General features: G+C 39.5%; 2 long non-coding RNA genes and 1 pseudogene across 10 annotated transcripts in view, besides 2 other annotated features; 2 read left to right on the forward strand and 1 right to left on the reverse strand.

The window, feature by feature from the left end:
* Positions 1 to 17,702, reverse strand: part of LOC105372310 (uncharacterized) — a 148,126-nt gene that overhangs the window by 122,681 nt on the left and 7,743 nt on the right. The window lies entirely within an intron of this gene.
* On the forward strand, positions 1,180 to 10,908 carry LOC102724427 (uncharacterized). 8 transcript variants are annotated; one of them, XR_936396.3, is made up of 6 exons: positions 1,180 to 1,316; positions 1,899 to 2,064; positions 2,675 to 2,801; positions 3,818 to 3,912; positions 10,660 to 10,728; positions 10,868 to 10,903. It is a non-coding gene; the product is annotated as an uncharacterized LOC102724427 (long non-coding RNA). The 8 variants fall into 8 exon arrangements; XR_936400.3 differs by lacking the exon at positions 3,818 to 3,912; XR_936398.3 differs by lacking the exon at positions 10,660 to 10,728 and having other exon boundaries at positions 10,844 to 10,881.
* Positions 1,679 to 2,484: an enhancer, noted in NCBI's record as "OCT4-NANOG-H3K27ac-H3K4me1 hESC enhancer chr19:20358871-20359676 (GRCh37/hg19 assembly coordinates)". NCBI's record gives its function as "activates a minimal SCP1, AML or CMV promoter by ChIP-STARR-seq in naive H9 embryonic stem cells {active_cell/tissue: H9 hESC(naive)}" and the evidence as "EXISTENCE:reporter gene assay evidence [ECO:0000049][PMID:30033119]".
* On the forward strand, positions 11,264 to 16,498 carry ACTR2P2 (ACTR2 pseudogene 2; annotated as a pseudogene).
* Positions 14,936 to 15,561: an enhancer, noted in NCBI's record as "OCT4-NANOG hESC enhancer chr19:20372128-20372753 (GRCh37/hg19 assembly coordinates)". NCBI's record gives its function as "activates a minimal SCP1, AML or CMV promoter by ChIP-STARR-seq in naive H9 embryonic stem cells {active_cell/tissue: H9 hESC(naive)}" and the evidence as "EXISTENCE:reporter gene assay evidence [ECO:0000049][PMID:30033119]".

Below are 17,702 nucleotides of genomic sequence, written 5' to 3' on the forward strand. Positions count from 1 at the left end.
GACCTGTCAAAGCCATTTACACTATATGTGTCAGAGAGAGAAAAAATGGCAATTGGGGTTTTGATCCAGGCTGTGGGGCCCTGGCTAAGGCTGGTGGCCTACCTATCTAAACAACTGGACAGGGTTTCTAAAGTTTGGCCCCCGTGTTTGAGAGCCTTAGCAGCAACTGCCCTGCTAGCACAAGAAACAGATAAATTAACTCTTGGGCAAAACCTAAACATAAAACACCTCATGCTGTGGTGACTTTAATGAATACCAAAGGATATCATTGGCTAACGAACGCTAGACTAACCAAGTACCAAAGCTTGCTCTGTAAAAGTCTCTGCATAACCATTGAAGTTTGTAACAGCCTGAACCCCACCACCCTGCTCCCGGTATCAGAGAGCCCTGTTGAGCATAACTATATAGAGGTGTTGCACTCAGTTTGCTCAGGTTAGCAAACCTGACCTATGGGACCAGCCTTGGACATCAGTAGACTTGGAGTTATATGTGGATGGGAGCAGCTTCATCAACCCACAAGGAGAGAGGTGTGCAGGATATGCACCTCTGGATGCTTTTATTGAAGCCAAATAATTGCCTCCAGGGTTCTTCAGCCCAGGAGGCCGAACTCATTGCTTTAACTTGGGCCCTAGAGCTAAGTGAGACTGTGAACATTTACACTGACTCTCGATATGCCTTTTTAACCCTCCAAGTGCATAAAGCATTATATAAAGAAACAGGCCTGTTAAACTCTGGGGGAAAAGATATAAAGTATCAGCAAGAAATCTTGCAATTATTAGAGGCAGTGTGGAAGCCCCAGAAGATGGCAGTCACGCACTGCAGAGGACACCAGTGAACTCCTACTACAGTTGCTTTAGGGAACTCCTGAGTGGACTCGGAGGCTCAAAAGGCAGCATCCACCCCTTACCGGGCATCAATCACAGCCCCCTTTCTCCCTCAAGAACCTGAACTTTTACCTACCTATTCTAAGGGAGAAAAAAACTTTTTCCAAGTGGAAGGGGGACAGGTAATAAAGGAAGGATGGATCCAGGTATCGGATGGGAGAATAGCTGTGCCACAGCTACTTGGAGCAGAGGTTGTACTGGCTGTGCATTTAACTACCCATCTAGGTCAGGAATCACTTGAAAAGTTGTTAGGCCGGTATTTTTACATCTCCCATTTATCAGCTCTTGCCAAAACAGTAGCGCAGCGATGTGTTATCTGCCGACAGCACAATGCAAGACAGGGTCCAGCCGTTCTGCCAGGTATACAGACATATGGAGCAGCCCCCTTTGAAGATCTCCAAGTGAACTTCACAGAAATGCCAAAGCGTGGAGGTAATAAGTATTTACTAGTTCTACTCTGTACCTGGTACCTACTCTGGGTGGGTAGAGGCTTATCCAACATGAACTGAGAAAGCTCATGAGGCAACCCGTGTGCTTCTTCAAGATCTTATTCCCAGGTTTGGACTGCCCTTATGGATCAGCTTGGACAACAGGCCAGCATGTGTGGCTGACTTGGTACAGTAAACATCAAAGGTATAGGAGATCACATGGACACTGCATGCAGCCTACCAACCGCAGAGTTCGGAAAGGTGGAGTGGATGAATCAGACAATCAAAAACAGTTTAGGGAAAGTATGTCAGAAAACAGGATTAAAGCGGTACTTTTAACCCTGGTACTGTTCAAGATTGATGCAACCCTTCAAAGAGAACAGGATATTCTCCCTATGAAATATTATATCATAGGCCCCTTCCTATATTACAGGGACTCCCAGGCACTCCACAAGAGTTAGGTGAAATTGAGTTACAGTGACAGCTACAGCTACAGGCCTTAGGAAATTTACTCAAACAATTTCAGCCTGTGTAAATGAGAGGTGCCCCATCAGCTTATTCTCCCCAATTCACCCTTTCTCCCCAGGTGATTGAGTGTGGATCAAAGATTGGAACACATCCCCCTTGCGACCACGGTGGAAAGGAGCCCAGACCATCATCTTGACCACCCCCCCACAGCTGTAAAGGTAGAAGGAATCCCAGCCTGGATCCACCATAGCTGAATAAAACCTGCAGCCTCTGAAACCTGGGAGGTGAGACTGAGCCCAGACAACCCCTGCAAAGTGATTCTGAGAAGTGTTTGTGTCCCTGGGTACTTGAGATTAGGGAGTGGTGATGACTCTTAAGGAGCATGCTGCCTTCAAGCATTTGTTTAACAAAGCACATCTTGCACAGCCCTTAATCCATTTAACCCTGAGTTGACACAGCACATGTCTCAGGGAGCACAGGGCTGGGGATAGGGTTGCAGATTAAAATGGAGTCTCTTATGTCTACTTTCTATATGGACACATTAACAATCTGATCTCTCTTTCTTTTCCCCACAGAAAAATATTCACAACTCATTCTGTATGATGTAAATATAGCACTCAAAACTGTATGTGTTCTTGTTCATGCCCTCAATTTTATACTTTATTATCTAGAAAAATATATATGAACCGATGTGGCGGATCTTATGCTGCTCTTTTTTCTCAGAGTTAGAGAATATATTAGAGAATATTTCTGTGTTGAAAACTATTTTATTGGATAATTTTAGTCATCCTATAAGTCAGAACCAGTTCTCTTTATGCTCGCATTTCACCTTAAGTCAAATTGAAAATTCTGCTCATGGCCATTTAAGTAAAGGTGTGTGTGTGTGTGTTTCAGGGACCACTGCAATTTAGGGATGTGGCCACAGAATTCTCTCTGGAGGAGTGGCATTGCCTGGACACTGCACAGTGGAATTTATATAGGGATGTGATTTTAGAGAACCACAGAAACCTGGTCTTCCTTGGTGAGGATAACCTGAATACATAATTCATAATATACCCTAAAGATTTTATTTCTCTTTTTTTGCAGAATTTTTTTAGTAATTTATTCTTTTCATAAAAGAGTTTCAGATCCACTTTTTCCAGAAAATCTTCAGAATTTGTTCATTTAGAAAAGAATTTCTTCAAGATGTTTCATCTTAATCCAGACTTTCCACATTCCTGAGTTGAGCTGTATTCTTCACTCTAAATTAGTGGTAATTCCAGAAACTTAGTGGCATAAAATATTGTTGCCCCACCTGAAAATCTAATTGCCACCACCAATTTTTGATTCAGTAGTACCAGATAGTAAAATTAAGAAACCGGCATATTGAAAGTATTCTTCCTTCCTTTTTTTTTCTTTCTTTCTCTTTTTCTTTCTTTCTTTCTTTCTTTCTTTCTTTCTTTCTTTCTTTCTTTCTTTCTTTCTTTCTTTCTTTCCTTCTTTGTTTCTTTGTTTCTTTCTTTCTCTTTCTTTCTTCTTTCTTTCTCTCTCTCTTTCTCTCTTTCTTTCTTTCTTCTTTCCTTCTTTTTTTTTCCTTTTTTTTTTTTTTTTTTTTGAAGAGTTTCACTCTTGTTGCCCAGGCTGGAGTGCAATGGTATGATCTCCGCTCACCACAACATCCACTTCCTGGGTTCAAGCAATTCTCTTGCCTCAGCCTCCTGAGTAGCTGGGATTAGAGGCCTGTGCCACCATGCCCGGCTAATTTTTTGTATTTTTAGTAGAGATGGGGTTTCTCTATGATGGTAAGGCTGGTCTTGAACTCCTGACCTCAGGTTATCCACCACCTCAGCCTCCCAACGTGCTAGGATTACAGGTGTGAGCCACTGCACCTGGCTGAAAGTATTTTCTAAATATTTATAAATTTCTGTTATGAATTAGTATTTTGGTATTAATTTACTAGAATATTTTATTATATCTGCTCTGCTGAGCACATTTAGTAATGTGCTTATAATTGGAGAATATGAGCAAGACTCATGTTATTTATTTTTAATAAAACAGGTATTGTTGTCCTAAGCCAGACCTGATCACCTGTCTGGAGCAAGGAAAAAAACCCTTGACTATGAAGAGACATGAGATGATTGCCAAACCCCCAAGTAGGTGTGAGTGAAAATGAATACAAGAGACGACAGAGATAAGAGGTCCCAAGGTCAATGAGAAAGCAAGTTTTTAAAATGTGATTCAGGAAGCTGTGTTCCAAAGGAAATAGTTCCTGGGCAGCTGTGTTATTTGTTTATTTATTTATTTAATTTTGCTCCTACAAAGGGGCATCTTCTGTCTTATGATTTTAAATTCTCTAAGGATTCCACTTTTCTTTTGGTGAGCTTCCTTCAAGTTCACAGTGAGAGCCAAAGTCCTCTTCATGGCATATAAGAGACTGCACAGGCTGGGCACATTGGCTCATGCCTGTAATCTCAGAACTTTGGGAGGCTAAGGCAGTGGATCACCTGAGGTCAGAAATTCGAGATTAGCCTGACCAACATGGTGAAACCTCGTCTTTACTAAAAATACAAAAATTAGCCAGGGGGGTTGTTGGGCACCTATAATCACAGCTACTTGGGAGGCTGAGGCCAAAGAATCACTTGAACCCAGAAGACGGAGCTTGCCGTGAGCCAAGATCGTGCCATTGCACCCCAGCCTGGGCAACAGAGTGAGACTCCATCACAAAAAAACAAAACAAGACAAACGAAAAAGAGACTGCACAATCTGGCTGCTTTTCCATTGTTTTGCAGATATGCAAATATCTATTTGCATTATTTAGAGAAACTAAAATTATTTTTCATGTTATCTTTTTGCATCAGGTCTGATATGTGTGAGAGTAATAGTTTCTGTTGCACTTTTTTGTTTATTTTTTTCAGCACAGTCTATTCTGTTTTTATTACTATAAAGTCTTGAAATATAGTTTGAAATTATAAGTATGATATTTTTCTGCTTTATTCCTTTTCCTCAAGATTGCTTTGGCTATTCAAAGTTTATTTTAGTTTCATGTAAATTTTAGAATTGTATTTTCCAGTACTGTGAAAAAAATGCCACTGCAATTTTGATAGGAAGTCTATTGAATCTATAGATCACTTTGGATAATATGGTACTTTATTAATATTTATTCTTTCAATCCATAGACAAAATATTTTAAAATTTATTTGGATCTTCTTTAATTTTTTCATTTTTTATTGTAAAGATTTTTACCTCCTTGGTCAATTTTTTTCTCAGAAATTTATTACTTAATGCTACAGCAAATAAGATTTTTTTCCCTCTATTTTGTTAGATAGTTTGTTTTAAGTGTATGAAACTGTAGCCAGGCACGGTGGCCAACGCCTGTAATTCCAGCACTTTGGGAGACTGAGGTGGGTGTATCAACTGAGGTGGGGAGTTCGAGACCAGCCTGACCAACGCGGAGAAACCCTGTCGCTACTAAAAATACAAAAATTAGCTGGGTGTGGTGGTGCATGTCAGTAATCCCAGCTACTCGGGAGGCTGAGGCAGGAGAATCACTTGAACCTAGGAGGTGGAAGTTGCAGTTAGTCAAGATCACACCATTGCACTCCAGGTTGGTCAAAAGAGCAAGACTCCTCAAAAAAAAAAAAAAAAAGTGTATGAAACCCTATATATACTTGTATGTTAATTTTGTATTTTGCTAATTTACTGAGTGTACTTAATAGTTTAGACAGATTTTAATGTACTGTTTATGGTTTTTTATATACACAATTGTATGATCTACAAACAGCAACTTTTTACTTTTTTTATTTCAATAGTTTTTTTATTTCTTTGACTAATTCTTCTGCCACATACTTCCAGTGCTACATTAAAATAGAAGCACTGGCCAGGCTCTGTGGCTCACAGCTGTAATCCCAGCACTTTGGGAGGCCGAAGCGGGTGGATCACCTGAGGTCAGGAGTTTGAGACCAGCCTGACCAATATGATGAAACCCCATCTCTACTAAAAATACAAAAATTAGCTGGGTGTGTCGACATGAGTCTGTAATCCCAGCAACTCCAGAGGCTGAGACAGGAGAATCGCTTGAGGCAGGAGGCAGAGGTTGCAGTGAGCCGAGATCACACCAATGCACTTCAGCCTGGGCAACAAGAGCAAAACTGCATCTCACACCTACACACACACACACACAAAATAGAAGCATTGACAATGCTCACAATATAGTTTTGTATTGGTGTCTGAATTCAATGCAGCAAATACCTCTTCAAGTTTTCACAAACTGATTTTAGAAGGTAAAGATCTTTTGTTGGCCCTTAGGGTGATGAGATGCCCTCTGAATTTGTAGTGAAGAGGGGTTGTAGCTTGGTCACAAGGCTGCTGGGTCTGCACTAGGGTCCACCTTTAGTTGGCTTGTTACAGGGGCTTTGGTAGTTGTAATTCTCATTTTATTTTTAGACAGACTGAATATCCTTCAAGACTTTGTTCCATAGGGCAGACACTAGGGCAGGTTTTTGCAGTCAGGTCTGCATATGCTGGGCCTTGTATCAGGATGTGGATGAGTGTGGCTTTCAGTGAGTACCAAAGAGCATTTCCTCAGGTAACTGTGTGGGTTTCTATATAGGCAGAACTGACCATAAACTGTGGCTCAGGTAACTGAAACTGAGTCATTGAATTGCTTCAGGGACCACAGTAAAGGCCAAAGTCTGCAGGCCTGCCTACATGGCTGTAAGTGTGTGCCTTCCTCCAGGTCAGGGAATGGCAGGACCTCTGCCAGACTGTGGCTGGGAAAAGTTTGGGATGGTTACAGAGTAAGTTCTGAATTTTCAGTAGGACCAAGTTGGATGAATCTTATCCTGGTCTGTAGCCAAGAACAGGGGTCCTGTAGTTTCGCACCTGAATGAGGGCCTGCCTTCTGAATAAAACTCTTCTCAATCTTAAGCTTTGACAGTGTTTCACAACTCCCTCCCTGGATCTCAAATCTCTCTTAGAGGCACTTATTTTGGAGATGGCATCTTGCTACATAACCCAGGCTGGTCTCGAAATCCTGGCCTGAAGCAGTGACATAACCTTAATGTACCATGTAGCTGTCATTACATGTGTGAGCCACAATGCATAAAGGCATTTTTGTCAGGTATGGCTGATATATATACATACACATATATATATATATATACATACACATATATATTTTTATTGTAAGGGGATATGAAAATAGGGCACTTTTAGTCTTTTCATTTTTTTCTTTTTCTTTTTTTTTTTTTGATGTGGAGTTTTGCTCTTTTTGCCCAGACTGTAGTGCAATGGCACGATCTTGGCTCACTGCAACCTCCGCCTCCCAGGTTCAAGCAATTCTCCTGCCTCAGCCTCCCAAGTAGCTAGGATTACAGGTACCTGCCACCATGCCTGACTAATTTTTTGTTATTTTTAGTGGAGATGGGGTTTCACCATGTTGGCCAGGATGGTCTCAATCTCTTGACCTCATGATCCGCACGCCTTGGCCTTCCAAAGTGCTGGGATTACAGGCATGAGCCACTGCACCCAGCTAGTCTTTTTATCTTACTGATGTCACTCTCCTTATACATTTTTACTTTCTATTTTCTACTTCAAGTTTGTCTGTAATTTTAGATTCAGATATTTAAAACAATTTGTTAAAATTTGCATATTATGCCTGCAGTAAATTAGATAATTAGTGGGCACTCCATATTTACTAAAATATTTACTTATAAATTTAATTTTGCTGCTGGCAAAAAGGAATTACAGAATTTTCCTCTACTTTCTTCAGCCTATATCTGAATAACAACATAGTTTATTTTCTAATTGTTTTACATATCAGAGGGTCTAACCCTATTCTGCAAAGTAGATATATATATTTTCTATATTTAACAATGTAAGGCTATTCTTTGCTTCAAAGTTGGATTACAGCAGTTTCATTTTGTGTAAGAATAGCATATATTTAAAACAAATATAACTCTAGTTTCTTTTAAATGCTATTTATTAGAAGTTTCTCATTAGAATCTTCTATTTATAATTATACTCCTTATTCTCTGAAATTTTACTGCCACACAGTGCATGCCAATGATTCAAAATACTCACATTTGATGAGTATACAGTAATAGTTAAATATTCCAGTTACCTAGACAATTTTTTTTGTTTTTGTGAGTCTGAGTCACGCTCTGTCACCCAGGCTGGAGTACAGTGGTGCGGGCTTGGCTTACTGCAACCTCCACCTCCCGGGTTCAAGCAATTCTCGTGTCTCAGCTTTCCAAGGAGCTAAGATTACAGGCATAAGCCACTGTGCCTGGCCTCAGTGTAGGTTTCTTAACATCAGTTTTTTGTGTCTGTTGGCTTTACTTTCGTATTACAATTTTAGACAATTTGCAATTCTGTTTGTACAGTTTAAGTCAATTTGAGGTTTAATTAAGAGATAAATTATGCATGTTTATCACAATCAGATTACATATGTCTGTGTGTTTATTTATAAATGTGACCCCAATTTTAGTTATGGCTTATCCTATATTCTTTCTTAGCCGATTTTCAATGGCAGTTTTATCTTGTCTAAGTGAGTTGTCATGGAGGTAGTCTTATTTTTACCATGTGTTTAATGATGAATACATATTTCGTTTTGTGAGAGAAACACTTTAGTGATTTGAAGGTAATTTTCAAAAAGATTTATAATTCTGTATTTTTTTCAGTTTTTTTTTTAAAGAATTTTTTTTTGAGACGGAGTCTTGCTCTGTCGCCCAGGCTGGAGTACAGTGGCGTGATCTTGGCTCACTGCAAGCTCCACCTCCCAGGTTAACGCCATTCTCCTGCCTCAGGCTCCCGAGTAGCTGGGACCACAGGCGCCCACCACCAAGCCCAGCTAATTTTTTGTATTTTTAGTAGAGACGGGGTTTCACCGTGTTAGCCTGGATGGTCTCGATCTCCTGACCTCGTGATCTGCCCGCCTCGGCCTCCCAAAATGCTGGGATTACAGGCGTGAGCCACCACGCCCGAACAAAAGAAATATTTTAAAAACACATAAAATGTACCATCTTAAATCTATTGAAGTGTATATTTCATGGCCAGGCATGTTTGTGGCTCTCATCTGTAATCCCAGGATTTTGGGAGGCCAAGACAGAAGGATCCCTGGAGCCTGAAAGCTTGAGACCAGCCTGGGCAACATATGGAGACCTTTCTCTATTAAAAAAAAATTAATAATTGCCAGGCATGGTGGTGTGCACCTGTGGTCCCATCTACTTTGGAGATTGAGGGGGAGTCAAAATTGTGCCTCTACATTCCCTCTTGGGTGACAGAGTGAGATCCTGTCTCAAAAAAAAGCTGTTCATTTCAGGAATGTTAATTATATTCGCATTGTTATGCAAAGACTTCTAGAAACTTTACATCTTGTGAAACTTAAACTCAGTACCCATTAAGTAACAACTGCTAATTTTACTCTCTCTCCAGCCCTAGACTGGACAAACCTTCCACTTTCTCTTTTTATGATTTTGACTTCTTAAGATACCTCATATAAATGGAATCATACAGTATCCATTATTTTGTTACTGGATTAATTCAGGTGACATAATATTCTCAAGGTTCATCTTAAAATATGACATGATTTTTTTTTAAGGTGGGATAATATTTCATCATATGTATATGTTACATTTTTTGATATGTTTATAAATCAAGAGACATCTGGGTTGCTTCAGCCTTTTGTCTTTTGTGAATACTGGCACAATAAACATGGATTTTCAAATATGTCATTATTATTATAGCAAGTGGGGTATTGAAATAGCCTAGTATAATTATATTTCTCTCTATGTGCTTATTCAGTTTTGTTAGTATTTGCTTTATATATTTGAAACCCTAATTTGAAACACAGACACACACAAATACACACAAATTTGTGATAAGTTCCCAGTGAATGAATCTATGTATTGTTTAATGCCCTTCTGTGTCTTTTTGAAGTTTTGACTTAAAGTACATTTTATAAAATATGACAGTTTTTGACTTAAGATGTAGCTTTTGTAATATTATTTTGACCTCTTCTGCTCTCATTTCATTAATATTTACATGAAATTTCTACTTCCATCTCACCACTTACAGTCTTTGTCATTAGATCTGAGGTGACTCTTGTAGAAAGGCAAGTTGGATCTTGATTTTCAAATTTTTTTTTTTTGAGATGGAGTCTCACTCTGTCACCCAGGCTGGAGTGCACGTGGTGCGACCTGGGCTTACTGCAACCTCCGCCTTCTGGGTTCAAGTGATTCTCCTGCCTCAGCCTCCTGAGTAGCTGGGATTACAGGCAGGCACCACCATAGTTGACTAACTTTTGTATTTTTTGTAGAGACAGGGTTTTGCCATGTTGGTCAGGCTGGTAAAATTTTTTAAAAAGGCTTTTTATTGAAAGTATGTCTCTTGATTGGAAAGATAATTATATATATTTAAATAGTTTTCTGAAAGAGGAAAACTTAATAATTTGTGTGTGTGTGTGTGTGTGTGTGTGTGACAGAGTCTCACTCTTTCATCCATGTTAGAGTGCAATGGTGCAATCTCAGATCACTGCAACCTCTGCCTCCTAGGTCCAAGGGATTCTCCTGTCTCAGCCACCTGAGTAGCTGGGATCACAGGCACCTGCCACCATGCCTGGCTAATTTTTGGTATTTTTAGTACAGATGGATTTATGCCATGTTGGCCAGGCTGGGCTTGAATTCCTGACCTTAAGTGATCCAACTTCCTTGGCTTCCTAAAGTGCTGGGACTACAGGCATAAGCCGCCGCACCTGACCAATGTTACTTTATTAATTGTTTTATTTGATTCTTGTATCTTTGTCTCTCATTTTTTCTGCCTTTGTGTGTGTGTTTTTTTTTAAATTTTTGTATTGATATGCTTTCAATTTTCTTCTTATTTTCTTTTGTGTATCTATACAGATATTTTCTTAGTAGTGTCTTGGGGATTACACAAAACCTCTAAAAGATCCAACAATATGTTTAAATGAGGTAAAAAATTAACTTCAGTTGAATGCAAAAATTCTTCATGATTACATCTGCCTTCAACTTTGTTATTGATTTTGCTAATTATATTATTTATTTATTTATTTATTTATTTTTTGAGACGGAGTCTCGCTCTTTCTCCCAGGCAATACTGCAGTGGCACTATCTCGGCTCACTGCAAGCTCCGCCTCACGGGTTCACGCCATTCTCCTGCCTCAGCCTCCCGAGTAGCTGGGACTACAGGCTCCTGCCACCGCGCCCAACCTCCGCCTCCCAGGTTCCAGTGATTCTAGTGCCTCAGCCTCCTGAGTAGCTGAGATTACAGGTGTGCACCACCACACTTAGCTAATTTTTGTATTTTTAGTAAAGGCAGGCTTTCACCATGTTGACCAGGCTACCTTTTATTTGTTTGTATATTTCTTTCTTCCTTTCCTTCTTTATTTCTAGAAGCATGTTCGTTTTAAAATATAAATTATGAATATTAAAAATCTTCTTTTCTCTGTCTTTGATTACTATTATGGCTGATTTAAAAATAAGTTTTGGAAGAAGAGAAAACGGCAGGGCGGCAGCGGCTGTAGGTTGTGCGGCGGCAGCGGCTCTTCCCTGGGTGGACGATGGACAGCCAGAGCAGGAAGGTGGTGGTGTGCGACAATGACACTGGGTTTGTGAAGTGTGGATATGCAGGCTCCAACTTTCCAGAACACATCTTCCCAGCTTTGGTTGGAAGATCTATTATCATGTAATGCCCAACCTTGTTTTTTCCTTTATTTACCTAGCCTTGTTTCTCCCTTAGCTAAGAGAACCAGACAAACTCCATCTTGGCTCTTTCACTGGCAGCCCCTTCCTCAAGGACTTAACTTGTGCAAGGTGACTCCCAGCACATCCAAGAATGCAATTAACTGATAAGATACTGTGGCAAGCTGTATCCGCACTCCCCAAGAATTCATCTGATTGATAACGCCCAAAGCCCCGCGTTTATCACCTTGTAATAGTCTTAAAGCCCCTGCACCTGGAACTGTTTACTTTCCTGTAACCATTTACCTTTTAACTTTTTGACTACTTAACTTCTGTAAAATTGTTCTAACTAGACACCCCTCCCCTTCCTAAACCAAGGTATAAAAGTTAATCAAGCCCCTTCCTCTGGGCCGAGAGAACTTTGCACGTTAGCCGTCTCTCGGTCGCCGGCTAATAAAGGACTCTTAATTCATCTCAAAGTGTGGCGTTTTCCTAACTCGCTAGGGTACAACAATCAGATCAACCACCAAAGTGGGAAACATTGAAATCAAGGATCTTATGGTTGGTGATGAGGCAAGTGAATTACGATCAATGTTAGAAGTTAACTACCCTATGGAAAATGGCATAGTACGAAATTGGGATGACACGAAACACCTGTGGGACTACACATTTGGACCAGAGAAACCTAATATAGATACCAGAAATTGTAAAATATTACTCACAGAACCTCTTATGAACCCAACCAAAAACAGAGAGAAGATGGTAGAGGTAATGTTTGAAACTTACCAGTTTTCCGGTGTATATGTAGCCATCCAGGCAGTTCTGACTTTGTACGCTCGAGGTTTATTGACTGCTGTAGTGGTAGACTCTGGAGATGGCGTGACTCACATTTACCCAGTATTAGAAGGCTTTTCTCTCCCTCATCTTACCAGGAGACTGGATATTGCTGGGAGGGATATAACTAGATATCTTATCAAGCTACTTCTGTTGCAAGGATACACCTTCAACCACTCTGCTGATTTTGAAACGGTTCGCATGATTAAAGAAAAACTGTGTTACGTGGGATATAATATTGTGCAAGAGCAGAAACTGGCCTTAGAAACCACAGTATTAGTTGAATCTTATACACTCCCAGATGGAGGAATCATCAAAGTTGGGGGAGAGAGATTTGAAACACCAGAAGCTTTATTTCAGCCTCACTTGATCAATGTTGAAGGAGTTGGTGTTGCTGAATTGCTTTTTAACACAATTCAGGCGGCTGACATTGATACCAGATCTGAATTCTACAAACACATTGTGCTTTCTGGAGGGTCTACTATGTATCCTGGCCTGTCATCACGGTTGAAACGAGAACTTAAACAGCTTTACTTAGAAAGAGTTTTGAAGGATGATGCGGAAAAACTTCCTAAATTTAAGATCTGCATTGAAGACCCATCCCGCAGAAAGCACATGGTATTCTTGGGTGGTGCAGTTCTAGCGGATATCATGAAAGACAAAGACAATTTTTGGATGACCCGACAGGAGTACCAAGAAAAGGGTGTCCTTGTGCTAGAGAAACTTGGTGTGACTGTTCGATAAACTCCAAAGCTTGTTCCCATCACACCCGTAATGCTTTCTTTTTTCTTTTATTGCCAATCTTTGAACTCATTCAACTCCAGGATATGGAAGAAGCCTTTCTCTACCCTTTGACTGGAAAGGTCAAGTTTTATTCTGGTGTCTTGGGGGAGCTTTGTTAAATTTTTGTTAATGTGGGTAAATCTGAATTTAATTCAACTGCTTCCCTACATAGACTAGAGGGCTAAGGATTCTGTCTGCTGCTTTGTTTCTTCTAAGTAGGCATTTAGATATTCCTGTAGGCTTCCTATTTTCACTTTACCTCTCTAATGCTGCTAGTCACTAGGTGGTACGCATTTATTAGCATAAGAAAAAAACTTTAACAGGAGCTTTTACATATTACTGGGATTGGGGGTGGTTTGGGATGGGTGGGCAGCTGCTGAACCCTTTAGAGCATTTCCTCTGTAATGTGGTGCTTTCAACTGTACTGCTGCAGCTTTAAGTACCTTAAAGCTTCTCCTGTGAACATCTTAGTGAAATGTTAGGTTCAGAACTAAAGTGTTTTGGGTAGATTTTGTTGCTGGGGAGGGTAACAGTGGGTGGTCTGATTTTTATTTTTGAGGTTTTTCACACTGGAGTACATAGAGGAACTTTATTTACAGTATTTTGATTTGGCAGGTTTTCTTCTACTTGTGCTCTGCCTGGAGCTGTTTCCATATGATAAAAAAAGCAAGTGTAGTATTCCATTACTATGTGGCTTAGGGATTTATTTGTTTTTTAAAATCAACCACGTTAGCTGGGACTAGACTCCCTACAATCCTTCAATGGAAAAGTAACATTTAAAAATCCTTGGCCGGGCGCGGTGGCTCACGCCTGTAATCCCAGCACCTTGGGAGGCCGAGGCGGGTGGATCATGAGGTCAGGAGATCGAGACCATCCTGGCTAACAAGGTGAAACCCCGTCTCTACTAAAAATACAAAAAATTAGCCGGGCGCGGTGGCGGGCGCCTGTAGTCCCAGCTACTCGGGAGGCTGAGGCAGGAGAATGGCGTGAACCCGGGAAGCGGAGCTTGCAGTGAGCCGAGATTGCGCCACTGCAGTCCGCAGTCCGGCCTGGGCGACAGAGCGAGACTCCGTCTCAAAAAAAAAAAAAAAAATCCTTTGGGTAATTCAAATTACAGATTTGAAAGTGCTTAAGATCTGGTGTTTTGTTAATGCTTCTGTTTATTCCGGAAGCATTAAGGTAACCCATTGCCAAGTATCATTCTTGCAAATTATTCTCTTATATAACTGACCAGTGTGTAATAAAACAAGCAGGTACTTATAAATAATTACTGGCAGTAGGTTATAATTGGTGGTTTAAAAATAACGTTGGAATACAGGACTTGTTGCCAATTGGGTAATTTTCATTTTTCTTTCTTTTTTTTTTTTTTTTTGAGACAGCGTCTTGCTCTGTCGCCCAGGCTGGAGTTCAGTGGCATGATCTCAACTCACTGCAAGCTCCACCTCCTGGGTTCACACCATTCTTCTGCCTCAGCCTCCAGGGTAGCTGGGACTACAGGTGCCCGCCAACACGCCCCGCTAATTTTTTGTATATTTAATAGAGACGGGGTTTCACTCTGTTAGCCAGGATGGTCTTATCTCCTGACCGATTGGGTAATTTTCATTAGTTGTTTTATTTGTTTTGATTTGAAACCTAATTTGACTGTTTAAAATGTTGGCCAAAAAAATCAAGATTTAAATTTTTTATTTGTACTGAAAAACTAATCATAACTTAATTTTCAGCCATCTTTGAAGCTTGAAAGAAGAGTCTTTGGTATTTTGTAAACATTAGCAGACTTTCCTGTCAGTGTCAGAAAATCCTATTTATGAATCCTGTTGATATTCCTTGGTATCTGAAAAAAATATCAAATAGTACCCATACATGAATTATTTCTAAGTTTGAAAAATAAAAAGAAACTACATCACACTAATTACAAAATACAAGTTTCTCTCGCATCCGTGTGGAGACCAACAAACAGGCTTTGTGTGAGCAACAAGGCTGTTTATTTCACCTGGGTGCAGGTGGGCTGAGTCTGAAAAGAGAGTCAGCCAAGGGAGATAAGGGTGGGGTCGTTTTATAAGATTTGGGTAGATAAAGGAAAATTACAGTCAAAGGGGGGTTGTTCTCTGGAGGGCAGGAGTGGGGGTCACAAGGTGCTCAGTGGGGGAGTTTCTGAGCCAGGATGAGCCAGGAGAAGGAATTTCACAAGATAATGTCATCACTTAAGGCAAGGACTGGCCATTTTCACTTCTTTTGTGGTGGAATGTCATCAGTTAAGGCAGGAACCACCCATCTGGATTTGTATGTGCAGGTCACAGGGGATATAATGGCTTAGCTTTGGCTCAGAGGCCTGAGAACAAATTCTGGAAAAAAATATTTTTCTTCATTTTAAAACTTTTTTTTAAACTAATAATGGCTTTGAAAGAAGAGGCTTAATTTGGGGTGACTAAATTCAAAAGAAATTATTGACTTGAGGGTCTCTGTTTGGTAAGAATACATAATTAGCTTAAATAAGCAGCAAAAGGTTAGTTTTAATTATGTAACTTCTGTTAATATTAAGTGTTTTTTGTCTGTTTTACCTCAATTTGAAAAGATAAGTTTGCCTGCATGCTGGACATGCCTCAGAACACATGAATAGCCCATACTAGATCTTAGGAACATGGATCTTTGAGTCACTTTAGACTAAGTTCTTATATAAATATCCCCAGCTTTTTGAGAACAGAGCTTGTTAAAGGATGCACATGTAGGGCCAGTACCTACTGGCAATTGTGTTCAGGGAAATGGGATTGACTTGGCCATTTGTCCTTTGGTCATAATTTTAAAATGTGGGAGTAAAAAACAACAAAGAATTGAATGGACTCTTAAAACAATGAAAGAGCATTTATCATTTGTCCCTTGAATGTAGAATTTGTTTTTGATTTCATAATTCTGCTGGGAAACGTGACAGTTAAAATGGTGTATTATGTATATATATTATAATTTAGAAATACCATTTTATAATTTTACTATTCCAAGGTGACATAATGCATTTAAATTTGGGATTTGGGTGGAGTATTATGTTTAACTGGAGTTGTTGTCAAGTATGAATCCCTCAGGAAAAAAAAAATCTGTTTTAAAAAGCAATCTGATTCTTAGCTCTTGAAACTATTGTTACTTAAATTTCCAATAATTAAAAATTTTAAATTTTTAAATTAGAATTGCCAATACTTTGACCTTTGAGAAGGGTTTCTTAGAAATACATTTAGTAATGTCCCCAAGACATTAGTCTTACATTTAAACTTTTTTCTTTAAAACATGGTATTGGTGGTTAACTTTTACACAGTTCTGAGTTCTGCTAATATCTGGAAAGTATCTTGAGATATCAGTGGAAAGCTAAACAGTCTAAATTTAACATGAAATACTTCTTTTTGATTCAGAAAATAAAATCAGATTTTTTTAATGTCAAAAGCATTAAAAAATTAAAAAAACAAAAATAAGTTTTTTTGAAATTATCTGCATAAAGGTTTTTGCTTCATTATTGACATAACTTGAGACAATACAGAAATGAAAATGAACATTTGTTAGTAAAACAGCAATTATCTAGCTCCTGGTAGTGATTTAATCTCTCACCTAGTCTTTAGAACTTCCATCAAGACAAGAACTCTTTTTTTCCAAGAGTGTGTGATGTAAAATCACACTCTTGTTTTTTTGTCTTTGTGGCAGAATTTGGGTATTTATGGTAATGAAAAAGAATTCTAGGTCTCTTTTCAGAAGAAAGATGGTGATGATGGAAGCAAATATAATGGTACTTGGTACTTAGCCACATTTCAAAGCATGCCAGTACAAAGCTAAATGAAGAAAGTCAAATAGGAAATGAGAAAAAAATAGCTCCTAGAAACACATAAAATGATAACAATATAATTAACAAACAATTTTTTTTTTTTTTTTTTTGGTTTTAGACAGAGTTTCCCTCTTGTTGCCCATGCTGGAGTGCAATGGCACAATCTTGGCTCACTGCAACCTCTGCCTCCGCGGTTCAAGTAATTCTTTTGTCTCAGCTTTCCCAGTAGCTTGGACTACAGGCACATGCCACCACGCATGGCTAACTTTTGCATTTTTAGTAGAGAGAGGGTTTCATCATATTGATCAGGCTGATCTCAAACTCCTGACCTCAGATGATCCACCTACCTCAGTTTCCCAATGTGCTGGGATTACAGGCATGAGCCACAGCGCCTGGATAACAACTTTATTTCTTTAAGCAATTATTTTAAATATAAGTTAATTAAACTACTTAATAAAATAAAATGAAATGTAATTTTAGGACTTTGGAAGGCCAAGGTAGGCTGATCACTTGATCCCAGGAGTTCAAGACAGGCCTAGGCAACATGGCAAAACTCTGTCTCTATAAAAAATACAAAAAAGCTAGCCTGGTGTGACGGCACATACTTGTAATCCAGGTATTTGAGAGACTGAAATGAGATAATCAGCAGACTTTGAGAGATTCAAGCAGCAGTGAAATATGCAAATCAGCCTGGTTGGCACAGTGAGTTCCATTCTGAAAAATAAATGAGGCTGGGCATGGTGGCTCATGCCTATAATCCCAGCCTTTTGGGAGACTGAGGCAGGCAGATCACTTGATGTCAGGACTTAAAGACCAGTCTGGTCATCAT

The sequence above is a fragment of the Homo sapiens genome, chromosome 19, assembly GCF_000001405.40.
Source record: "Homo sapiens chromosome 19, GRCh38.p14 Primary Assembly".
NCBI lineage: Eukaryota > Metazoa > Chordata > Mammalia > Primates > Hominidae > Homo > Homo sapiens.